This window comes from Homo sapiens, chromosome 9, assembly GCF_000001405.40.
Source record: "Homo sapiens chromosome 9, GRCh38.p14 Primary Assembly".
In the NCBI taxonomy this organism is placed as follows: Eukaryota; Metazoa; Chordata; class Mammalia; order Primates; family Hominidae; genus Homo; species Homo sapiens.
The window spans coordinates 71,276,150-71,303,448 of NC_000009.12; the positions used below are offsets into that span (position 1 = coordinate 71,276,150).

A 27,299-nucleotide genomic window follows, 5' to 3' on the forward strand; every position below is an offset into this window, starting at 1 on the left:
AACTTTTACAAATAAATTGCACTGGAACAACTGACTACATACGTGGCAAAAAATCCCTTCGTCAACCGTACACACAAATCAATTCTTGATGAATGAAGCACACATATGTGAAAGGCAAAATTTTAAAAGCAATTTAGGGAAATATTTTTTTATGTTGGGGGTAAAAGAATTATTTAAGGCACAAAATGGGTAGATTATGAAGGGAAAGATTGTATCAAAAACTTCTATCCTCAAAAGCCATCAGGGAGTAAAAATTTAAGCTATAAATTTGGATATGACACAACACAAATATTACTATGTAGCATATACAAAAAAAACTCCAAGAATCAGCAAGAAACACTATGAGAAAATAAGAAATAATCACAAATTTTACAAGAGAGAAGAAATAAATGACCCATAAGTAGATTACAATGTGTTGACCCTTTTAGTAATCAAAGAAACCAATTAAAATCATGAGATATAATTCATGACTACAAGTTTGGCAAAAATATAAATATGGAATAATATCAAGCAATGCCATTAATAGAGAGCAAAGAGGGTGTTCATCCATTAAAAGCAGATATGTAAATGAGTAAAACTTCTTTGGAAATCACGTAGGAAAGTTGAACATGTACTGGCCTCTGATTCAGAAATTCTATTACTAGGTATTAATTCTTGACAAATTTTTGCCTATATGTACCAGGAAATATGCATGAAATATTTATAATTATGCTGCTTATGATAGCAATAAAACTGGAAAACCCCATGTGTGCCTCATAAGTAAAATGAAAAAATAAGTTGTGATATGCCCATATCATGTAATACTATACTGCCATGAAAAAGAATGAACTTAAGTTCTAATCACTGAAGTAGGTGAATCACAAAACTATAATGATAAATGATATAATCAAGCTACGTAAGAATTCATACAATGTGATCTCATTACTTAAATTACCAAAACAGATACAACTAAGTAATATTTAGGAATTCCAAAAAAGCTTATTTTTTTTAAAGAAAAGTTATTAAGAAAAGCAAGGGAATAACAAACATGATATTCAGGATAGCAGCCACCTCTGAAGGCCTGCACAGAAAGGAAGACGCAACTGAAATGGGGATGGTGTCTATGGCCACACCACCCTCACGTGCTCAAGCTTGTCTGAAATGGGAATAGTAAATGTATTTGTTTTCCTGAGTAACGTGTACGTAGTTCTGCATTTCATCATTATTCTTACACTGCATTTATTTTGTTTACTGTGTTTTTCCCTATGTAGGCTATATAATTCAATAAAAATAGTTTTGTTTTTGTTTGTTATAAATAGTTTATGATGAGTCATACTGAGGTAAAAGGCAACAGGTATCAGTTGAAAGTTTTGGGAAAATCAATGTGACAAATCAAAGGAGTCTAATTTTTTTTAACTGATTTAAAAAAAAGATGTGGACAACAAAGAATATTACAAGGTGGCAAAAAGTGAAGTCCACAAAAGAGGCTCATTAGTCTGCAAAATATTCTCCTGATCATGTAAAATGCAGAGCACCTCCCCAAATAGAAAATGTCTGCGGTCCAATATGAATATAATAATTTGACTCTTCTCATGGCAATATTTTAACAAATATCTAATCTGTATTAAAGTAACATGAAGGAGAAAACACTAACAGGAAAAATGCTTCAGCAATGTGTAATCCACATACACATGAAATAGTTAAGCATCGCACTCCACACATGGGTTTCAGGAAAAGAGGATGCAGAGACAAAGTCAGAGAGTAGAACTGTAAAGCAGGAGGTTATTTTTTAAAAACATAAAAAGAAAAATGAAATACAAAGGAAAGGCGACTAATTATAAAGAGAGTGGGACAGCAATGCAAAACGCAGCACATTTTGTTCTAGTGGTCCTGTTATTTCTACCAGTGCTGGGGCTGGGGCAGCTGCTCGGATGTGTATCACCTAGCATTAAGCATTAAGCAGTAGAAATAACTGCTTTATTCCTTGGTCCATGGGAAAATCCTGATCAATTAGTACAATTTCAGTAAAAGGAACAATAACTGCGGATCTACTATGAGGCAACCACTGTCCTAAATCCTAGCACTTGAAAGTAAATAAGCCATGATCCCAGATTAGAAGAGGAGAAATCAACAACCTTTGTAGAGGTGATAAATTCCATGGAAGAGTGGTCCCCCAAAGAAGCACAGAACATTAGCACTTGGCCATGCCAAAGAGGTCAAAGAGGCTTCCCAAAGGGAGCAATTCTTGAATGGAATCTCAAAGGAGTTAGGGAAAGGTAAGAGCACCACAGTACCAGTATCAGAACAAATGCAAAAGATACCAAATCAGATAAAACTGAACCATGTTAGAAGGGAGTCTAATACTAAAAGGAGGAATAAAGTGTTAATTTTCAAAGAAACACAATTCTTAAACAGTATAGGTTATTAGGCACAAAGAAAAGTACATATGCAACATCATATAATATAAGATTAATACAAACTCTCTAGATATGACATCAAAGGCTTACAAACTATTTAGGTTGAACCGTATGTCCTTGCTGGGGTTTTTTGTCATGTTTGATGGACAGAAACAGTAACTCTATGTGGCTCAACCTGACAGAAAGGAATAGATTGACAGATTTGATCAGAAATAACCTGGACATGTATATGACAGAGGGTTAATGATGACATATTGAGATATCCATATGTAACACATATATTATAGAAATCTTACCTATCAAGAAAAAACGTGAAACCTAAAAGGAAAAGAAAATACCAGTGCCCAACAAGTATAAGCAGAAATAGTCCGCTACAATGATAATCAAAGAAATGCATACTAACACCATAAGAACATACTTCTCTTTTGGTTAGCAGATTGGTAAGACTCATGTCAAGTTCTCTCCTCACCAAACTTATCCTGCTTAGGTTAAAAAAAATAAAAATAAAAATAAAAATAAAAAAACCACCAACGACCATTTATGCTCATTTCTTTCTTCAGTCGAATTGCTGAAGAATACCCCATAGTGGAAATGAAAGGAATTTGATTTCTTTAACAGATGGGCCTTTACTACAAATATTTCCTTTGGCCCAGCTACTGAGCCCAAAATGCGTACACAGACAGAGGAGGGCAACCCCTTCCTGTGAAAATATCAACAGTTGCAGCCAGATCCACTGGGTAGAAAATATACTATGAAAAAAAAATCTCCAAATACGGATAGTTACACAACGGAGCTCAAAGGTGTGTTGGCTTACTGACGTTCTCCAGGGCAATAGAGGGTGTAGTTAAATATTTGTCCATCTGGCAGTTTTGAAAAACAAAGTATTTTTAAAAGAAACTGAAATCTAGACTTAAAAGGAAAACTTTATAGGAGCAAAAAAATGAAACTGTATGTTTTTACCATGCACATGTGTTTGTGGCAAGCGTCTTGGAAAGACACGAAGCCATTTAGTAAGCCTGGCATAACATGGAGGGCTGTTAGGGACTCTATGACAGCCTAGAAAGAACCCTGGTGTGAACACTTGGAAGTGTTGGTTCCCCCAGCCCCCAAGCAGGCTCAGAGGACAACCTCTAAGGAAGGAAGAGCCTGGGGGAGAGGACTCAGCGTAGACAGGGAGAGATGATTCAGGAGCAATGCTGACTGATGTTTTTTCAAAGGTACCAATACCCAGCATTGACGGAAATTATCCCGGCCGGGCGCGGTGGCTCATGCCTGTAATCCCAGCACTTTGGGAGGCCGAGGCAGGCGGATCACCTGAGGTCAGGAGTTCGAGACCAGCCTGACCAACATGGTGAAACCCCATCTCTACTAAAAAATACAAAAATTAGCCAGGTGTGGTGGCACATGACTGTCATCCCAGCTACGCAGGAGGCTGAGCCAGTAGAATTGCTGGAACCCAGAGTCAGAGGTTGCAGTGAGCCGAGATCTTGACATTGCACTCTACCACAGATGATGAGAGTGAAACTCCATCTCAAAAAAAAAAAAAAAAAGGGGATGTATAAGGTTCTCCCCTTTTATTGTGTAATGTAAAACCAATTATGCTCTACTGATACATGGTTTCCAACATGGTAGTTTCAACTAAGCAGTTTCCTCCAGTGATGGACACCAGCAACTCAGGCACGTGAATGCCATATGGTGGGTCCTGCAGTCACGTGAACCACTAAAATTTACTGCCTATTTTTGTAGGCAAATTTCATTAGGGAAGTCTCATTATGATTTTGAAATTTTGTTTAAACAGAATGTTTGTGGAAAAATATTCCCCACATGGAAAATTTCCCAATGGGAACATATGTATGTTATGTGTGATGCTATGACAAGTAAAGCACGCCTACAAATCACAGAAGTCTCTGGCTAAGTCAGCACCCTTCCCCTTCAGAAAAAGCCAACAACAGCAAGGGGCCATCTCAGAAAAAAAAAGAAAAGAAAAGAAAAGAAAAGCCCTGGATTTTTGAGAGAGGATTTGTGGGAGAAAAAAATTAAATAATGGAGTCAAATAAGATTTTAGCATTAGCTTTGTTGAAGAAACAGATTCAGACCACCCTGTATTCCAACACTTACTCAGTGATACAAAAGCCTTTGTGCAGGTCCTTGAAGGTGCTGGGTTTTGCTCCCCTTAGCTAAGGGTCTTTGCACATGGGGTTCTCGTGGCCTCCTCTCACACAAACACATACACACACACAAATGCATCAATACAAGGGCTGATTCCTTTCTTTCTCCAGATCTTAACCCAAATGGCACACATTCAAGGAGGAACTCTCTGATCAATATATCTACATTCATTCCCCTATTATTCTCTATTTCAGCATCCTATTTGCTTCCATTATAGCATTTATCAGATTCACTTGACTGTTCAGATGTTTTTTGTTGTTTTTCCCTAGGTTGATAGTAAGCTCTGTGCAGGCAAAGACCACATGTGTCTTGTTCACCACTGTGTCCCCAGCACCTGGAAAGTGGCTGGTATATAAGACATTCTTAATAAATATTTGCTGAAATGGATAGTGAATATCCTGGAGGAAGAGGCACTCTCACAGACAAGTCAGAACCACAAAAGCAAAGTCGGGAGGTGTGTCAAAGTGACAAGGACCAACCCTGGTTTTTCAAGGTTAGCCTGTGTCATGGAAGAAGCTGAGAAAACAACAGCAATTCAGGACACACGGGATAAAGAAGAGGCAAACTTTAGCAGTGGGACAGTGACAGAGTTGAATGACCATTAAGAACAGTTCATAAGCACCTGGACCCACTTACAGGATCAGGTTAGAGCTTGAGTCACCTTACATCCAAATCACTTGCCCCCAACTGCTACCATCTATTTTATTCACATATTTTGTTTGCTTTCTGGAATAAGGCTCCTTGGGAAAGCATTTTGTTCATTGCTGTCTCCCCAGGTACAGTATCTAGTACATGGAATCCGCTCAATATATTTGAATTAATTCTGCTGGTGGGAGTTTAGAGCCACGTCTGTCTTTCTGTCCTTTTCATTGCTGTCTACAGCATTTTAAGTACACTCTTCCTAAACTGAGGAGTTATACTTTTCATATTATTTTAGAATTTGCTGGATTCCTAAGCAATCATATTAATTTCTTATTAAATTCATAAAAATTACAGGAGAAAACCACATTTGAGTGTACATTAACATCCTCAACAATGGTAAGGTACTGTAGATATGAAAATTGTGGCCAGGTGCGGTGGATCACACCTGTAATCCCAGCACTTTGGGAGGCCAAGGTGGGCAGATCACCTGAGATTGGAAGTTCGAGACCAGCCTGACCAACATGGAGAAACCCCGTCTCTACTAAAAGTACAAAATTAGCCAGGCGTGGTGGCACATGCCTGTAATCCTGGCTACTCGGGAGGCTGAGGCAGGAGAATCACTTGAACCTGGGAGGCAGAGGTTGTGGCAAGCCAAGACCACAACATTGCTCTCCAGCCTGGGCAACAAGGGCAAAACAGAAAGAGAGAAAGAAAGGAAAGAAAGGAAAGAAAGAGAGAAAGAAAGAAAAGAAAGAAAGAAAAAGAAAGAACGAAAGAAAGAAAGAAAGGAAAGAAAGAAAGGAAAAGAAAGAATGAAAGAAAGAAAGAAAGGAAAGAAAGAATGAAAGAAAGAAAGAAAGGAAAGAAAGAAAGAAAAAGAAAGAATGAAAGAAAGAAAGAAAGGAAAGAAAGAGAGAAAGAAAGAAAAGAAAGAAAGAAAAAGAAAGAACGAAAGAAAGAAAGAAAGGAAAGAAAGAGAGAAAGAAAGAAAAGAAAGAAAGAAAAAGAAAGAATGAAAGAAAGAAAGAAAGGAAAGAAAGAAAGGAAAAGAAAGAAAAAGAAAAAGAAAGAAAAAAAGAAAGAGAAAATTGTAACTAAACAAAGGCTCACTCACCCCAAGCAGGTAAAAGGGTAGTGCTATTTTTAAAAACAAGAGGTATGCCAAAGCACTACAAAGTCTGTGCATATTTATGTTTAAACTTCAAGTAAAATTGTTATTTTTTTTAGAAGTCTGTTGTTGGAAACATCTGTGAGCACCATCTGTATAGGAATTTAAAGTTAAAATTAATGGCATGCTCTTTCTTGTTTAAGACTCACCAGCATGAGAACTTAAACCATAGGAGAGATGTTCTTACTTAGGAATATTACTGCCCTGCCCACTATCCTCTCCCAATGTAAAATAACTCATTTACTAACTGAAATATCATCAGACTCTACAAGTGGCTGATGTGACTAGATATCTTTAAGTCAATAAGACCTAAGGTATGTGTGTATGCTACCAGCTTTACCAGCTACCTTGAACTTGTAAGAATGTCTGTCCCTACCCCTCGGGGCACCGCTGGACGACCATTCTTTCTCAGTCTCACTTTTAGGCCTTCTTTCCTCCTTTCTAGTGCTTCCCAAGGTGCCATATCGTGATCCTTCACTCTTATTCCTTTCTTGGACTCCTATCAAATTGTGGTAAAATACACGTCACATAAAATTTACCATCTTAACCATATTTAATTGTACAGTTTAGTCTGTATTAAACGATTCCCCCATTCACTCCTCCTCCAAGTCCTTGGAAACCATCATTTTACTTTCCATTTCTATAACTCTATTACTGATACTTCATGTAAGTGGAACCATGCAGTATTTGTGTTTTTGTCATTGGCTTGTTTTACTTAGCATGATGTCCTTAAACTTCCTCCATGCTGTAGCATGTGTCAGCATTTCTTTCTTTCTTTTTCTTTCTTTCTTTTTGGAGACAGAGTTTCGCTCTGTTGCCCAGGCTGCAGTGGTGTGATCTTGGCTCACTGCAAGCTGTGCCTCCCGGGTTCACGCCATTCTCCTGCCTCAGCCTCCCGAGTAGCTGGGACTACAGGCACCCACCACCACGCCTGGCTGATTTTTTGCATTTTTTTTTTCTTAGTAGAGATGGGGTTTCACCGTGTTAGCCAGGATGGTCTCAATCTCCTGACCTCGTGATCCCCCGCCTTGGCCTCCCAAAGTGCTGGGATTACTGGCATGAGCCACCATGTCCGGCCTCCTTCCTTTTTAAAGCTAAATCGTATCCCATTGTATTTATATACCACGTTTTGTTTATCCATTCATCTGTTGGTGGGCACTTGGGTATCACAAATAATGCTGTTTTGAACGTGGCTTTGCAAATATTTCTTCAAGATTCTGCTTTCAATTCTTTTGGATCTATACCCAGCTCTATTCTTACATTTTTAACTACCACCCCTCTTCAGGAGTTTCAAATTACAAGTCAAGTGCCCTATCTAATATACCAACATCTATGTGAGTTCAGATACTGTCTTCTGAGAGTTATGTTTCATAATTGTGTCTATGTTCCTCCTTTTTAAACGCATTAATCTGTCCCACTTCCTACCGCCAGTGGGTTTCCTCAGGGAATTCTGACAGTTAGACAATATATTAGGGAGGCAGAATGCCTGATATGAGCCCTGGTTCTGCCACTTGCTAGCTAAATGACCCTGGGAAACTTATTTAACCTTTGTGGTCCTTAGTGTTCTCACCTGTAGTACCAGCTTCAATGGGTTTTTTACCAGGATAAAGGAAATAATATATGGAAAGTACATGCACTAGCATGATACATAGACCAGTGCCTGAAATGTCATAAAAGCAAACCTAAAAGCTAGCTACTATTTTTCTGGATTTTAAGTTAAAATAATTTATACTTGCCAACATAAAATTAACTTCCATTTCAACTTAAAAGACATCTAGTGATTCAGGATAATCATCCAGAGTTTTTAATCCTTCAGGTAGTTTGTCTCAATATTGGGAGAGATCAAGAAGCTCAATCTAAGTTTTTCTTTAAAATCAGCCATCCTTATATGTGAAGAAAACGTGGAGAATACAACACTTGATCTGTCTAATGGCCTAGGAGACTCGATCAGATGGCCTTACAGGTTGTCTCTCAGCTCGCCTCTCAGAATCTGAGCCTAATAAACGCAGTACTGTTATATTAGCTTGTTATTCTTTTAAGTGGTGAGGTCACACATTTCTGATAAAAAAGATTTCTAATTATGGGACACACCTATTTATATAGGTAAGCCATAAATTAGTAGAATTGACCATGCTGATCATTAGAATACTTTCTTCTGGTTAGTGAGGGAAATGTTATTCACTAACATTTACTAACTTTGCACTTTACCATAACTCAATTAAGATTTTATAAGCTAAAGACTAATGTATTCTACATTACTTAGTCTATACAGTTCAAAACTCAGCTAGGAAATAAAAAAGGCTATTCACTCTGCAAAATGCTATAAAAGCTAGAATAACTATTCCTAAGAAAGAATTGTGAATTAAGTCTGAATTTTGTATCACACTTACAAAGTATATTACATTTTTTGTTCAAAATAACTTTTATAGACTAAAAAGCTGCAATTCTCAAACATTTTAAAAAATACATTTTCCATAATTTCAATTTTAATTAAAATCAGCAAACATAGAACAGGTAAATCCAGAGGCAAATTTACCATGAAATTCATGAAACTTGGGAGATGGGAAAGAACTCTAGTAATGTGTTTACATATTTGCATGTTTTTGTAACACTTACCTAAGTAAGATATTTTACATTTTCTTCTAAAAGTGCCCATCCAGTCTAAAACTGTATAAGCTTTAGGCCCCACTGAACCCTAACTCCTCCAATCCTGCCTGGGTGTGCACCATGTTATCTGACGGTTAGAAATAATTAAATCTTTCCCATTGCTGTTCAAATTACCTGCATTCTCACTAGCATCCACTAGAGGGTCGTAGCTGCACTATGTAAAGAGATGGCCTTTGCCTCTTTTTCTTCCTATTCTTTTTTGTGTACCCAAACAAGCAAGGAAACACTGAGCAAACAGTATAGTCCTCAGAGTTGAAAAGCTGCCTATTAGCTCGAACTGTTGCCATCGAGAGACTGATGTGGCAGAAATGTCTTGCTCTGTTTCCGAGGCTGCCGATCCGTTCACTTGGCAAACTCCAGAGAAACAAGGCCCAGCACGCCCCAGTTTAACAAAGTTGAATAAAAGGCCATTTCATCTCAGGGCTACTTAGTCCAAATCAAATAATGCTTAAGCTATTTGGTCCAAGCCAGCTCAAGTGCTCAGACATCATACAAGGCTTTCTTGGCTGAGAAGAAGCACCACCACCACCAGTCGCTGCACACATTTAGCTTGTTCCTGCTGTTTTCACCAGCCTAACTTCCCAGCTGGAGTAGGTACCAAATTCAAAATCAAGCTTCACTGAGGACTATCACCTAGACTCCCCTTGACCAATCACTCTACAGGTGCAAATTAATCCATTATGCGCTGTAATTTCCAAACAGTGGCATATCCATTTTACATAAGCAGGAAGACTTATAATGTCACAGCACAAAATTATTCATATTTGTCTATAACTTTCCTTCAAATCCTCATTTTCTCCTATTTTTATTTAATGCAAAAAGCCATGTGATTTTCAGGGAAAGAAAAAAGTGATTCATTTCTGAAAACCTATAAGCCATAAAATCAAGGGCTCCACATCTGTTTGAGAAAGTCTGACAATTGTTTCTGAGATCTTCAGAATTTCCTTTCATAAGGTAGCGAGGTATGGGAATCACCGCAATTTTGTGAGGTGTCATCAGACCAGGTTTAGTAGTTTTGTAGTTTCCCAATCAACTTGTTGATAAATCATGATTAACAATTCAGGAAACTCATATTAGACAATAGTAATTCAAATTAAGCTAAACCGGGGGAGGGCATGTAATTTATTTGGATTTGCAATCTGTCTGTTGCAAGGAGCCAGAATCGTGCTGTGATTTGCCCTTCATGTGCAAAGCTCATTTTGCAAAATCCATCTTCCATAGAGAGGGAAAATCTCAACCCAGAGAATCTAGCCCATTAATACATTAATTCTTTAATACATCACTAACCAAACTAGCTTTTTGGTCATTTGTGACCAAAGGAGTTACAATGAGTGTGGAAGACTGGGACAGGAAAAGAGATATTCACTGGAATCAGGAAATAACAAGTTTACTACTTTTAACTTAGGAGGTTAGCAATGGAAAACCCATATTTAGGGAGAACAGGCAAAAGGAAATAGAAGTCAGTACAATACATTCTATTCAATTCCACCTGGAATACTACTGATAAAAATCACGTATTAAATAACCTAGCCATTGTCAGCTTCTCGGATTCAATCTTGTACCAATCTACCCCTTGTTTGTTGTGTTTCAGCTATACTGGTCTTTTTCCTGTTTTTCAAAATGCCAACCCCTTCCGCCTGCCTGGATTGTTTTCTCACATCTTCAGATGCCTCACATTGTTTAATTCAAACCTCAAATATCACCTCTCACAGAAGCATTCTTTGACCACGATATACTTTTATATATATATAATTTATATTTTATATAAATTATATATAATATAATTATATTATATAATTATATTATATAATATACAACATATAATATAGTATATAATATATAACATATTGTATTATATACTATATTATATAATTTATATATTATATATAAATTATATTATATGATATAATATAAAATTGTATAAAATATATGGTAATATATAATAAAAATATATAAATAATAAATATATGTATATAAAATAACATAATAAGATAGTATCGGGATGCCCATCCTCTGGAGATTTACCATCTAATTTGAGAAATACATTGTGTAAGAGAAACAATACCTGTATGTATTGTACAAATGCCAAGAAGAGGCAGAAATAGAATAGTTCACAGGAGAAGCAATGACTTGCCTTACCTTCTGAAGTCTCAGGCATTTCAGAATATACACCAATGAGCTTTCATGGCTGCATATAAGATTTTTATACTGGCAATCACTATGAGGCTGTCCCACAAATTCCATCCTATTTGGGGTAATTTATCTGTACTCATGGTAACAGATAAGATGTTGTATAAATGCTGAGCAACTTCAGGAAAGTGGAAATATTACTAGCGTAGGCTCTCAGTTTGGAGGGTACAGAAGAAGGCCTTCAAAATTCAACTGCTGGACTTCAATGTACAAAAAAACTACAACTCCAGAATTACAGAATGTGTCATTTACTCAGAAAAAAAAAAAAAGCCTGGACTATTAATGCTATAATACAATTGATATACAGCCATGCACTGTATATATCAATTGAATAAGATATTTTGTTTCTCACAGCAGCAACATAAGACCTATACATGTGTTATTTTCATTAACCCATTTAATAAATGAGGAAATGGTAATTAGAGAGGCTAAGCAATGCGCCCGATGTCACATACGCAGTAACAGCTGGAATTTGGATTTTGGAAGCAGCTACTGTAAAATTGAGGTAGCAATTCTTATTAAACCCTTGCTCAGTTTGCTCAGATATTTACAGGTATTACAAAATACAGGTACCAATGAGCCTGAACTTAAACTTCTAGAGGGCAGCAGATCTGTGTTAACTACCCCTTATCAATTTAGAATTGGACTCAGTCACAGAAAATACTACATATTAAATATTTTTAAAATGTTAAATATTTTTTGTTGGCTTGATGGAAGTTTTACAACATTTGCTTTCTTAAAGTCAAGGTTTTCCCCATTATTCCTTGCTCTAAACCCCGATATTAAATTTATATTAAATATATTTTTAACTTATAATATTTAATATCATAATTATGATATTAAAACAAAAGATACCTTAGTGAATAGAAGGAGAAGGCATGTTAGCATCTCATAATATTGTCTACGATAAACGCTATTTTCTGGATGTAGAGCTAAAACTGTTCGATTATTAACAAAATTATAATGTACTGTTTACACATAGCATTATTTTTCATATGTGTATATATACACATACACATATGTGCACATGTGTATATACAGGGAGACAAACAGACAAAGTTCATCTGAGTATGACAGAAAGTTCCCTATTGAAAAATATATACGTTTTGCTTCTAGTAGCATAGCAGACTAGTTTTACACATGCACACACAAAAACCACACAAACACACATACCAACTCAGTAACAAGGAAGAACTAAAAATGGTGGAACTTTTTAAAAGGCATTTTCACACAGAGCTGAGTTATTAGGGAAATGAGGAGAATTCCTTGGAGGCCAGAAATGACAAAGGGTGGACACAGAGAGGTACACAGCACTGAAGCCAGTGTTTACTCTGGGTACATCAGCCAATCCTGAGTTGACTCAGAGTCTAGATTTTTAAAGAAAATCAAAGAAAAAAGTTGAGGGCCCAACAGATAGGCAGTCAGACAGAAGACCTGCAGATATGAAACTGGAAGCTCCCAATGGTTGAGCTACAAAAATAAAACCTCCTGTAGAGAGAGACAGTGGGGCATGCATATCTCCTTGGTTTTGACTCTAGGTGGAAATAGGGGGGAAAAAAAATTCCCAAGACTTTCTAACTGCAAGTCCAGTTGTGTTTTGGGAGAACACAATTTACACAATGTAACTGGCTCAACAGTCCCTCATATACACATTTATTTTAAAGATGTAATGGACGTGTAGCACCTCTAATGCCACACACAAAGCAAATTCAAATCCTCTCTGGAAGAACACACTTTAACACTTAAAAAGGCATCACAAAATATGTAACAAAACAGTGAGAGAGAGAGAGAGAGAGAGAGACAGCAGAAAACGCTAACTGCAGGATTTATCTTGCAAACCCCACAAATATTTAGTATCTATAAATGCACTTAAAGAAATTAAAGATGATACTGAGAGTATGTCAAAGGAAAAAGAAACCATCAAAAATTGACCTCAACGTTTTAAAAAGGAAAGCAATAAAACTTCTAGAGATAAAGCCTATAGTAGAAATCAGAACCTCCATAAATGCATTGAACAGATGAAGCACACCTGAGGAAAAGTTTGTGCACTTAAAGATACAGCTGAAGAAATTATTCCAAATGTAGCACTGAGGAGCAAGGAGATACAAAATATAAAACAGAAGCTCAAGTTCTAGTGTTCAATAGTACAGTAGGAAAATCATAGTTAACAATAATATATTGTATGTTTCAAAATAGCTAGATAGGGTCAAGCACAGTGGCTCACGCCTGTAATCCCAACATTGTGGGAGGCCAAGGTGGGCATATCACTTGAGGTCTGGAGTTTGAGACCAGCCTGGCCAACATGGTGAAATGTCGTCTCTACTAAAAATACAAAAATTAGCCAGGCCTGGTGGCTCATGCTTGTAATCCCAGCTACTCGGGAGGCTGAGGCAAGAGAATTGCTTGAACTCAGGAGGTGGAGGTTGCAGTGAGTTAAGAGTTAAGATGGTGCCAACTGCACTCCAGCCTGGGTGACAGAGCAAGACTCTGTCTCAAAAAAAAAAAAAAAAAAAAAAAAAAGCTAGATAAGAACTAGATAAGAATTGAAATATTCCCAACACAAAGAAAAGATAAATGTTTGATGTGATGGGTATCTCATTTACCCTGATTTGATCATTATATATTATGTTCTTGTATCAAAGTATCACATGTACCCCCAAAATATGTACAACTATGATATGTCAGTTTAAAAAGTACAAAAAAAGGAGAGAAGCTCAGAGGCTGGAGAACAGAATGAGAAAATGAAAGATATATCTATTCAAAGTTCACAAAAGAGAAGACATGATGGGGCATAGGTGATACGTGAAAAGGTAATGTGACGCACTCTTTTTCAGAACTGATAAGATACCGGGTTATATATTTAAGCAGTCTAAGATAGTACAGGAATAAATAAGAAGAAACTCACCAATATATCGTAATGTAATTCAGAATACCAAAAAAAGAAAGATATTAAAATTGGCAAAAAAGAGACCTACAAATGAAAAAGAATTATATTGAATATTGATTTCTGTTTGCAATACTTGAAACCAGTATTTGGAATAATACGTTTTAAATACTGAGAAAGAAATAGTTCCAATAATTGAATGTCCAATAGAATGAGGGTAGAACAAAGATATTTTCAGACCAACAGTAACAGAGTTTAGAAATAGGAGACTCTCTAAAGAGCTTTCTAAAGGATATATGTTAGAAAAAAATTACCTCAAAAGGAACATATAAAATTCAAGAAATGATGGACAAGAATAATGTATAGACACATGCTCAAAATAATATAGAAAAATAAAACAGGTCTCATTTATAGAGTTAGAGTAATCAAGATATTGCTAAAATCCAAGACAATTATACAAGTCAGGAAGAAAGTAATTCACGTCAAATCATCCTAAAACCCTTATATTGTTTGGCAAGAGGTAAATGTATTAGGTTTTGTTAAATATGCTTATTAAACTGTATAGGACCTAAAAGAATGACATAAGTGTATAAAATCTAAACTAATGGAGAAGAATGGAAAGAGAAAAAAGTTGAAAAAGGCAAGGAAAAAAGAAAACAGCACAAGCAATATATTAGAAATGAAGACAGATATATCAGCAATAATCAATGTAAATGAACTAAACTCTAAAAACACAGATGATATTTGATTCAAAAAGATAAAATCCAAATATATACTATTAACGAAGACACAAACATTTAAAAGAGAAAAGACTATTAAATAAAACTTATGTGAGGCCATTATTTGGAATTGAGCTCCTGTACCAGGCCTCAGCAGACCAAACCAAAATGGAGACAGTCTTGTCAAGTGCCACATAATTAAACTGAAATCTTAAAATACAGGAAAATCCCCAAATATACCAGTTTTTCCAAAATTGGGAGATTCACAACAATCAGTCAGAAGAGGCCCAGTGTACCTGAGCCAGCATAACAAGGAAGTAACCTCTGCTTTAACCCTTGCAAGGAAAGTAACCTGATGTTAACCTTTCTCCTTTCTCATATTGTACTTTCCTTAGTTCTGGCTCAAAACCAACTGTTTTGCCAGCAGTGCTCTTTCTATTTTGTAGATTAGACATTGCCTGATTCATGAATTGCTCATAAAAGCCAATTAGATCTTTAATTTGTCAAAAGTATATTCTTTGACAATAGAAAAGATTTATTAGCCAAATATTAGCTGAATCAAGCTAATCACTACTCATCAAAATAGACCCTAAGGCAAAAATATTAGCAGAGGTAAAAGAAAGTCATTACCTATTGATAAGTTATTTAATTTACCAAGAATATGTAGTATTTTCAAATGTATATGACCCTACAAAAGAAAAAATAATACAGATACAAAAAACAATTACAAATCTGCCCTCATAGTGGAAGTTCTGATACACTGATAATTGATATTATAAAGCAATCAAAAAGAAATTATTGAAATTAGAAACGACTTGAGTAACAGAATCAGAAGCTTGACCTGATGGACAAATAAATCCTGAAACCAGTAACAGAAGACTTCATATTTTTCTCAAGTTCAGATGGGACATTTAGGAAAATGATTGCAAATTAGAACATAAAGCAAATCTCATCCTGTTTTAGATAATCAATGTCATGTAGATCATGTTCTTTTACTACAACAATTAAGTCAGAAACAAATAATGAAAGACGGAAAAAGGAGGAGAAAGACAAGAAGAGCAGGCAGAATAAGGAGGAAGAAGATAGAAACAACAGAAATTAAAGAAATCCACTTCTAAAGAGCGCATGTAAAAGTAAAGCATAATGAAAATGAATAAACATTGAAAACCTGGCGAATGCTGATGAACACACAGTACCTCGAAAGTTGAAAACCGCACTTAGAAGAAAGGTAGATAATGCATACACACATACACAGGGCTAAAGTAGGCTGAGGAGTCCATTTAAAAGGAGAATTGTATTTTAACAAGCTATCAGAAAAAAATAACAATCAAAAGCTGAAATAGATGAGAAAAAAGAATAGAAAACAGAAAAGAAGATGTGAGAGAATTAACAGAGTTAATCTGTTTTTAATGGCTAAAAAACTTGAGCAGTCTCTAAAAAATACTGATTTTTTTATAGAGGGAGGAATAAACAATATCAGAAATGAAAAGTAATAAAAGATAATATAAACAATAAACTATGAAAATATGGTAAAAAGAACATTCTTAGAAATGTGTGAATTATTAAAAGTGACTTAAGTCAGTATTACTATCAGTCTGTTAAGAAGAGATTGGAGAAATAGAAAATTAGAATAATCCTAATAATGTTTTTTAAAAAAATAAGTTAGCTGTTGAAGATTTTCCAAAGCAAATATCATACCTAGAGCATTTTACCAGCAAGTTCTATGAACCTTCAAGGAATCAATAACCTCGATATATTACTACAATTTCTATGGAACAGAAAGGGGAGAAATACTTCTACAAATTTTTTACAAGTCTAACTTTTGATACTGACACCAAAGAGACACCAGAAATGAAAAATAACAGGCCAATCCTAATCATTCACATATCAGTGAATGATTATATATTGTCATTCAACTAAAATTGCAAATCAAACACAGCAATGCCCAAAAAAGCAAATACAAAATGACGAAATTGTGTTTATCTCAAGAATATAAAGTTGGTTGAACATCAGAATCCAGAAATGTAAGTCAACACAGCTACAGTTCAAAGAAAGAAAAGTCTACATATTCATCTCAATATATTTGGTAAAAAGTGTTCTTTAACATTCAGCATCACTTCATAATAAAAACTTTTTAAAAACAGTAAATAAAATACAACTTCATCTTGATAAAGGGTATCTACAAAAAAAAACCTTACAGCAATTATCTTTTCAATAATGAAATATTAAAATTATTCCCTTTGAAATGACACACAGAAAATGCCCACTATCACTTCCTTACAACATTAACTTTGATTGTGAGTCAATGCAGTAAGTCTAGATAAAAGATAACACATAAATGGCTTGTAAATAAAGAAATAAAACATCCATTATTCACGGACATTTTATGCATAGAAAACTTAAGCATTTCCAAATTATTAAAATAAAGTACACCACTTTTAAATACAACAAATTAGAAAAATGCAATTTTAAAATATATCCTTTACAAATAAAAAAGGTTGGTGGTACCTAAGAATAAATCTAATATTAAGATGTGCAAATCCTTTACGTAGAAAGTTCAAAATTTTATTGAAAGACTCTAAGAGAGACCTAAATAAATGGAGAGATATACTACATTTGTGGAAAAAAAAAAGCTCAATATTGTAAAGGTATCAATCTTCTCCCCCAAATTGATCTATACTTTTAATGCAATTTCAGTAAAAATCCCAAGGATGTTTCAAATAACTTGACAGAATAATTCCAAATATTTTCATGTAGGAGTAAAGGACTAAGGATATCTTGAAAATATATCCCTACCAGTTATTAAGACTTATTATAAAACTATAACAATGATATTGTCTTAAGGATAAACAAATAAGCCAATGGAATGAGAGAGAACCAGACACAGACTCATGCATACGTAGAGACTCCATATAAGATAGAGGTGGTATTGCATACCTGCGAGGAATGGATTTCTCAATAATTATCCAGAATAATTACAAATCCATATAAAACACAATACAACACTGCTTCCTTCTTGGAATAAATGCAAAAATCTCTTCCAAGACTTTAATGTGAAGAGTAAGATCTTTGAGAAAATGTAGGCGATTATCTTTATGATATCATAATAAAGAATATTTTATGTACCAATTTTCTAAAAAAGAAAACTATTGATAAATTCAATTTTGTTAAAATGTAAAACTTCTGTTTATCAAGAGGAACCATGAAATGATAATCCAAAAACAGAGAAAATATTTGCTGTATATATAACAAACAAAACTGCACCTAGAATATGTAAAAAGAACTCCTATAAATCCATAAGACAAAAACAAAAAATCTAATAGAAAAACACACAAACATTTCCCAGAAGAGGAAATGGGAATGCCAAATAAACATATGACATGATGCTCAGACTCTTTAGTAAGCAAGGAAATGCAAATTAAAATCTCAAGGAGATACCATTTCACACCTGCCAGACTGGCAAAATTTAAAAAGCCTGACAATCTTCTTGACAATATTGAGGAGGATATAAAGCTCCATGAATTTTTATGTACCACTGAAGGAAAATGTAATTTGATATAATCACTTTGGGAAACAACTTGGTATTGTATAGTAGAGTTGAATATGAGAATATTCAATGACCAAGTATAAACCTATGACTAATTCTAAGTGTAAACCCCAGAAAAACTCTTGCACAGGTGTACTAGGAGACATGAGAAAATGTCCACAAAAACATCAGTCATTATAGCAAAAAACCCTAAGCTCAGATATTCATCAACAAGATGACAGAGCATTAAATTGTGATTTACTCACACAATCGAATTCTGTATCAAAGTGAGCACGATTGATTCTGAGTATGTTCATCAATATGGATGAATCTCAAAGCAAAAAACAAATCACAAAACAATATACCTAATATGATTCCATTTATATGAAATGGACAAAAACAGGCAAAACAAAACTTACATTATTTAGGGACATAAAGAAAAGGAAATGATTAATACCAAATTTAGATGTAATTATCTCTGTAAGAGGAGAGTACACAGGAAATGTCAAGGATACTGATCATGTTCTATTTTTATAACCTGGATATTAAAAATAGAGGTGTTTATTTAATGCTATTCTTTATGCTCTTGTTACACACACCTTTGTACATGTGATATATCTCATAATACTTTTTGCAAAATGCATAACTGTATGAGCAATATAGGTCTCTCAATATAAACCTTGCTGATTCATTATGCAAATAACATGAAGCTCAGCAAGGTAGGAGGTATTCATTCAAGGGAGATGATAATGGTCAGTATTTTCAAAGCCTGTGAATAGAAATTAAAAATTATGGAGTTACAATAGACAGTACTATTGTAGAATGAGAGCTCATGCCGAATGTTGAATATTAGAAGGCTTGAAAAAAATACAAGTGATTAACTATGATAAAAGATTTGTTTTAAATGATCATAGGAGAGTAAATTAACTCCATCATGGTTTGAAATCTATTTTGGCTTCCTTTTTTTTTTTTTAACAAAAGTATAACTTATCTTATAAAGTATGAACATGTATCTAAAGTCTCTGAAATTTAAATGCTGCCAGGTGCAGTGGCTAACAAATGTAATCTCAGCACTTTGGGAGGCTGAGGCAGGAGGATAGCTTGAGCCCAGGAGTTCCAGACCAGCCAGCTCAACATAGCAAGACTGTATTTGTACAAATAAATAAGTAAATAAACAAGCAATCTTGGCTTGGTAGCATGTACTAGTAGTCCCAGCTACTGGAGAGGCTGAGATGGGAAGATCCCTTGAGCCCAGAAGTTTGAGGCTTCAGTAAGCCACGATCATGCCACTGCATGCCAGCTTGGGCAACAGAGTGAGATCCCGTCTCAAAAAAAAAAAAAAAAAAAAAGTTAAATGCTTACTATTTTCTACCATAGAAGTAGAAGTTGGTCAACATAGTGACAGAACTCTTCCTGGACCAAAGGCATTGAGATCCAGGCTCCAGCCCTGACTCTGCTTCTTCTTCATCCTCTCTAGATTTTAGGGGAGTCGATACATTCTCTTTCCTAAAGCCTTAGAGGTGTATAGGAAAATGTTTGTGAAAATGGTACAAAAATACTAAGAAATACTAAGTATAGATGCTCAACAGCTTTCGTGTGCTAAGCTCTGGACTCTGCTGCTTTACATACAGTTTCTCTTTTAATCTTCAAAACAAACTGGTGAGACAAGTACTATTTGGCTCTTAAAAGACTCCATTCAGTCACTAAATATACATTGAAATGAAAATAAGAGATTATTATTCTAGATGCCTGTGAATGATATTAACAAGGTCCCTACCCCCTTGCAGCTTCATATTCTGCTAGGAAGACGGAAAAATAATAAACAAGTAGACAAAAAATCCAGATAGAGTGTGTTGGAGGCTACTTTTTCCTAGGGCAATGGAGGATTTCCTCTCTAAGAATGTAACATTTGACCTAGACTAGAATACAAAGAAGGGATCAGCCTTATGAAGATCCTGGGAAGAAATCCCACCAGTTAAATGAACATAAATGCAAAACAGCAAGGAGAGAACAAGGTGTGTGTGTTTGGCCAGGTTGACCAAAGTACCATGAATGGGGCCTCATGAGATTAAGGAGGGCAGGAGGAAACTCTGAAGGTTACAGTTAGATGCTTGAATTTTATTCTAATGCACTTGAGCCCTAGGCAAATTATCTGATATATTTTTAAACTAGCACTCTATCTGCTACTGATAAAAGGACTATGGGAAACGACGGACCATTAGAAGATTGCTACAAGACCCAACAGACTAGACGGCGGGGGTTCACACTGAGATGGTAGCAATAAAAAGAAAGAGCTGGTTTTTAGATACATTTTGAAAGTAGAAGAGAAAGAACTTACTAATTGAGCTCATAAGTTTTGGGCATCTACTACTGCTGAAGGGTAATGCCATTATTGAACATGAGAAACACTGCAGAAAGAAGATTTAAAGCGATGAAAATTGAACAATACATGAACAAACATGGGATGTGAATCTTTTCTTTTTTTTTTTTTTTTTTTTTGAGATGAAGTCTTGCTCTGTCACCCAGGCTGGAGTGCAATGGCACGATCTCTGCTCACTGCAACCTCCGCCTCCTGGGTTCAAGCAATTCTCCTGCCTCAGCCTCCCGAGTAGCTGGGACTACAGGTGTGCACCACCACACGCGGTTAATTATTTTGTATTTTTAGTAGAGACCAGGTTTTCTTTTCATTACTTCTCAGTATCTCCAGAAGAGGAGTCACCAGCCTTCTTCAGTAACAATAGTGGTATTTAATAGTATAATGGTTGTGAAGAACTCACGATATGCTGGGCCCTCTTCCTGATCTGAGCCCTAAGATGTAAGTGCTATTATCATGCTCATTTACTTGATGATAGATGTATTAGTCCATTCTCATGCTGCTATAAACAACTGCCTGAGACTGGATAATTTAGAAACGAAAGTGGTTTAATTGACTCACAGTTCTGCCAGCCTGGGGAGGCCTCAGGAAACTTACAATAATGGTGGAAGGGGAAGCAAACACGTCCTTCTTCACATGGTGGCAGTAAGGAGAATGAGATCGGAATGAAGGAGGAAGCCCTTTAAAAAACCATCAGATCTCATGAAAACTTACTATCACAAGACTAGCATAGGAGAAACTGCTCCCATGATTCAATTACCTCCCACTGGGTCCCTCCCACTACATGTGGGGATTATGGGAACTACAATTCAAGATGAGATATGGGTTGGGACACAGCCAAAACATATCAATAGAAAATGAAGCACCAAGTTCCTTCAGTTGCCCCAGGTCTCATGGCTAGTAAGCGGCAGAAGCAGAGTTTGAATCCAAGCAGTCTTAGCTCCATATTCCTTCTCTTGACCACTTGACTGCCCAATTTCACAGTTTCCTTAGCATGCCTGTAATGTAATTGACCCTTATGGACAATAAAAGGTGAACGGCTCATAGCTCAGCAGACTTAAAGAGGTGATTACCAACTCATACTGGTCTCTTAAATTGTACTTTATAAACATAGCATCAAAATGTTTACAGTTGGAATTTAGAGGTACTCTAGTCTAAAATCTGTGGGAAGGTGAGTAGTCCACAGCATGCCAGTAAACTCTGCCACCAGAAAAAAAAAAAAGTTCCTCTAGTAAACTGAGTCAAATCTAAACATTACTATTTACTGCAGGATATCTTAAGTCTTTAATGGGGTGTCACTATAAATATCAGAGCAGAATATAAGATATATTCGACCTTGTTTGATCTGGAAATCTTTAACGTTTGTTTTTGCTGCTTGTTTGTTTTGCTTCTCATCAGGAAGTATAATCCATACATCTGGTTGGGTCAATCCAACATTTCCTTATTATGAAGATCAATAAACTCATGCACTGAGATATTTGTCTAAGCTCAAGGGATGAATATGGTCCTGGGCACAGTAAAAGCTGATTAAAATCTGATTCCCCAAATTATCATGGCACAAGGAAGGACATTCAAAATAATCTGGTCTTTTTTTTTTTTACATATATGAAGATATAAAAATTTATGGTTTTATACATTTGTTCAGCAGCAGTATATAATCAATATGGTACTTCACTAATCCCATTAATTATACCATCATCTACTTTTTAAAAAAAATCTGTTTCTCACAATAATAGGAATTTAGAGTCCAAACAGATGCCCCATCACTGCTTGGCCAGGGTCCAAGAGCAAACTGCAGGTAGCAACACAGGAGACACCTTCTAATGTCACCTCCACACTCTCTCTCAATCTCTCTCTAGCTCAAAACAGGCCTCCTTCAGAGTACTTGCGTCACTAGGCAAATGTGCTTTCACCTGCAGAATAAATCTCAGTATTTTTATGAAACCCTCTTTTATAAGGAAAAAGACACCAAATCAAAAACTAACATGGGAATAAGAACCAGTTCAACTTATAGCTGACATCGTCCTACTTTCCTAGATAAGAGAATCAACTCTGTATTTTATTCCTCTCATTTCCAGGAAGGTAATACTAGATAAATCTTTGTCTAAAATAAAGGATAAAAAAAGAGACTGCTGAATTTAATTTTTTAATGTTGAACCTAGAAAACATTTTTTCTACTCAAGATCAGAACTTTCTAGTGCACACCTTCTGAACGATGAAAACCATTGATTGTGCTTGCAGAGTACAGTCTAAGATAGATGCCAAGAGGTCTGACTGCATTCTCTTTGCAACTGACTAGGTGAAATACCTTAAGTAAACCAAAGAACATTAGGACTCTTTAGATTATTAAGGCTGTCCAATTCTAAGTCTGCATGTGTTTTGATTGAGATGAACAAAATCATGTATTTATTTTAATCACCCAAAATTGACCTAAGACTTAACTCTGTGCCCAGTGTTGTGGTAAATGCTAGTGTGTGTTAATCTCTTAATTCTAACAACTCTCCTACTATATCTGTATTAATATTCTCCCAATCTTACAAATGAGGGAATTGAAACTGAGAAAGGAAAAAGAAAAAATAGGAAGTTAGGAGGAAGAAGGAAAATAAAAGAGAAAAAGATGAAGGAAGGGAGGAAGGAAGGGAGAAAAAAGAAAAGGAAGGAAGGAGAGGGGAGGGAGGGAAGGAAGGAGGGAAGAGAAATGTTAACGTAATGGAAACTATTCTAATTTGTTAACTATGTAATTGTGCAATGGTTAGTTATATTCTGAAATGTGTCTCTCAGTTCTCATAAAAATCAAAGAACTTTCCATGTAAAAGTTGTTGGATTGGCAAACAAACTTTGTATCTTATTTTCTGTTGGCTAACACCATATACCTTCCCTTAAAATGGCCTTGTGCACATTTATAAAGAAACTGAAAATTTGTGGGAAAAATGACTATTAAGGATCAAACTCCAGATAAGAGGGCAAAAGTTAACTAAGCTTAAATAGATATATTATAATGTAAGGGAGAGAGAAAATGGGATGAAAATCCACAAGATGGCATATTTATATAGGGGACATTTAATAGTGGAGGTCTTTCTAGGAAAGTCTAGTAAAGTTAGCTAGGAGCTGTCTCATCTGCTGCCAGATAGCATAACCCATATGTAAAGAGTAAATAGGATTTCGAATTGACAATTATCTCTGTGCTTGGAGCTGTAAAGAACCAAGATGTCACTGACACTGTTCCTTATTTCATGGTCCTTAAAGATAAAAGGATGTCTATAATGGTGAAATAGTATTAATCATAGGATAACCAAAGAAACAGTAACCTTATAAACATTAGAAACATTAACTTTGTAAAAACTTAAATATAATCTCGTTGGTGGTCAAAACACACTTTCAAAATGCATGAATCTGCAAGCTGGTTTTAATGACACTATCATGGAAGCCCATGACAGGGATGCTGCTGATTAATGGGCTAATAAATTATTTAATTGGATTTTTCCCTCCATTCAATTGTAAAATCTATGCATTTCTTAGCTTATGTAAGGTCTGTTAGTGCCTTCCTAAGCATTCTATTTTGTCAAAATGTAGACTGAAGAAGTAAATAGAAGACTTATACACTTAACCACAACTTTTGACATTAAACTTTTTTTTTTAACTCAGTACTGTTAACTCAAAACAATGTCATGAATGGTGAATACAGCAAGCCTTCCTTGTGTATGTTTGTTTTTAAAGATGATGCTGGTTTAACTGTAATTCTAAGTCAGGAATTTCCTCACACTTCCCAATTTAGAACCTTCAGTTAATTAAAGGTCAGTCTTTATGATGTAAAAGTTTGCTAATAAAAGCCTTGCCAGTTCTTTTTTTCTTACAACTGTGTAAGCAATCCCTAGATGATCTATTTCAAATGTGATTTTAAATTCTGAAATGGGAAAAATCTTCTAAAGCCAATAATCAGATGTATAAGATATATGGGATTTAGCATTTGGAGGGATACGCACTACTACTGACTCATATTCTCAGGACCAAATTGGATCCTCAATAAAATGCCTTAAGTAGCACCTTGAAATTTGATTCAGTGTGATTTGTACATATTCAATGGCTAATATGTGCTAGATTCCATGCTATTAAACCGAGGCTTCATTTCACCACGCTCTCATTTCATCACCATCAAATGAATATGTATAGGGTACTTCCTATGTCTATGCCATTTAAAAGCATAAGAAGAAATACAAGAAAACAGAATACCTGCCCTCAGGGAACTGTCTCAGAGCAACATGTACCAAAAATTTTTAATTAGGATTGATGTCTGATTGGGCAAGAGATCTCACCTCATTCATCTTTGTCTTCTGAGCAAGTGACACAGCACCCTGTCCAAGAGCACCCAAAGAATGTTTGGGGACCTGAATGGTATTATGAGTAATTTTGTACTGTATAGATAGAAAGATTTCCCTTCTAAAGTTTGTCCTAGTTCTAAAATAATTCCCAGGAGGGAAAACTGATGCTTTACACATTGATTACTCCTCTTCTTAATTCCCAAGGGTCACTGAGTATGTATCACCATGTTGTGCTTAATTGTTCTCAAAATCACTTATACTCAGTTTCAAAGCCACATACTGAAGCCATATATACAAGACTCAGACTAAATATATCATATGGCAAAACGTAATATTATAAAAATATATTTAACGAATCATTTTCTTGGTTATCTGGTTAACTTTTCTCTATGTATATCTTTTAAAGATATCACATATCACCTTATTCAAACGTCAACTGCTGCTCAGATGATAAGGGGAAAGAATACATGAAGATGATTTTTGTGTTTGGCAATAGGGTGCCAGGGAGAAACCTAGTTTTTAAATTCCAGCTGGGCTGTGAGCCAGTTGCTTCATTATAAAGTGCTTTATTATTATTATTATAAGAACTGTCTACCTAATAGGTACTAAATGAAACACTATATACACATAAGCTATTAATGTAGTACCTAGCATATAGTAGATGCTTCATAAATATTAAATTCCTTTCTATTTCTGTGGAAACATGGATTTACCCTCAAGAGGTTGTCTCCGTAGTTAGAAAATCTGATTATCCTCCTTCAAATTTTGCTCTGAATGAAACAGCGTTTGTGTTTATGCCCCTCTTTACTCTGAACCATTACAGGTAATTTCCATAGCTTTGGGAATAATATAGCAAACTCCAAATGTCTACATAAAACAAAAAATCATGTATAATTTAGTGTCGCAAATCAACACCTACACTGTAGGTTTTTAAATTACTTTCTATGAAACTGTAGTTTAAAAAATTTACACATTTGAAAAAAAATCAACTGTAGTTATTTTAATCACACAGAATAAAAGTTATTGCAAATACTCTTCAACATGTCTGAAATCATAGAAATTTGCTGATAAATATTAGTAAATACTTCATTTATCCTCATCACCTACTATTTTATGACCAGATTGAAAGGCCAACAGACTATTTGAGTAAGAAGGACTACCTAATTGATATGAAAGTCTAAAAGCCACCAAAATATTCTACGAGCAATACTGAACAAAACAAATACGCAAGATCTGCAATGCATGAGCTTAAAGTAATGAGATCAAATAATTCTAAAATGCTGTTTGATATAATTTCATTTCTCCATTTCTTGACAGTCATTGTATTCCTTGAAGTTGAGGCATCCATTGGTTCAAGCGAAAGGTAGAATGCAGCAAATACAATTATACTCTACTTTTAAATTTCAAAATGAGTTCTTAATGGCCATGTCAGAAACAATACTTGTAAGAGCCAGAGCTTTTATTTGTAAGAGCTAGTCTTTGTTGAGAGGATGGATTTAGGAGGCCCAATGAGACAAAGCTGAAAGACTCAGCATAGAGATTATTAATGTCAATTGCAGAATATGGAATAAATATTCTAAAAAAAAAAAGGAAGGAAGGAAGAAAGAAGGAAGGAAGGAGGGGAGGGAGGCTTTGTAAGTTATAGTATGGACTGAAGAGACTACAAAGGGAGAAGTCAAGAATTAAGAAAAAAGCATAGTGCTATGTCACTGAGAAAGGCCTAGGGAAGATATCTCGTGGCCACAGTAAAGTGAAAGCAGATGTGTGCAGAGTTTCGGAACTTGAAGCCTAAGGCCACTTCAGACTCTAGGGACACTAGCACTGGGCGCTCACCAATGCTCAGAGACTAGGCAAATCTCGTTTCTTCACCCACAGTGGCCTGAAGGAACCCAGAGGACTTCCTGGACACCCCACCCCATCCCACCATCACGGTGTGATGTAAGCTTCTCCATCTTCCCTAAGAAAAGGAAAGGGACAGGGAGATGGGACAAAATAACCCTGGACTCATTGCCCTATAAAAAACCTAAACTGTGTAAAGGAAGAGAACAAATTACTGTGAAAAGGTAAGACAAAGTTTATTTTCCTCCACCATCAACAGAAATGGAAGCTCAACACCAAGTGGAGTTAATTATAGAAAACAAAGTTAAATATCTCTTTATCTGCATTCTGCAGTAGACATTTTAACAGGTTACAGTGATTTTTTTTAGATGTTGACTTTTGAACACTGGTAAATGAAGGAGAAATA

The 27,299-nt window shown here is 35.5% G+C and overlaps 1 protein-coding gene and 1 long non-coding RNA gene across 5 annotated transcripts in view; both read right to left on the bottom strand.

Annotated features, from left to right (window-relative positions):
• The window catches only part of TRPM3 (transient receptor potential cation channel subfamily M member 3), a 917,912-nt gene that overhangs the window by 747,090 nt on the left and 143,523 nt on the right, over positions 1-27,299 (bottom strand). The gene's annotated exons all lie outside the window — the stretch shown is intronic.
• The window catches only part of LOC107987079 (uncharacterized), a 47,614-nt gene continuing 26,606 nt past the window's right edge, over positions 6,292-27,299 (bottom strand). Inside the window, exon 4 of the long non-coding RNA XR_001746718.1 lies at positions 6,292-6,874. This is a non-coding gene — a long non-coding RNA (uncharacterized LOC107987079). The remainder of the gene's footprint in view (positions 6,875-27,299) is intronic.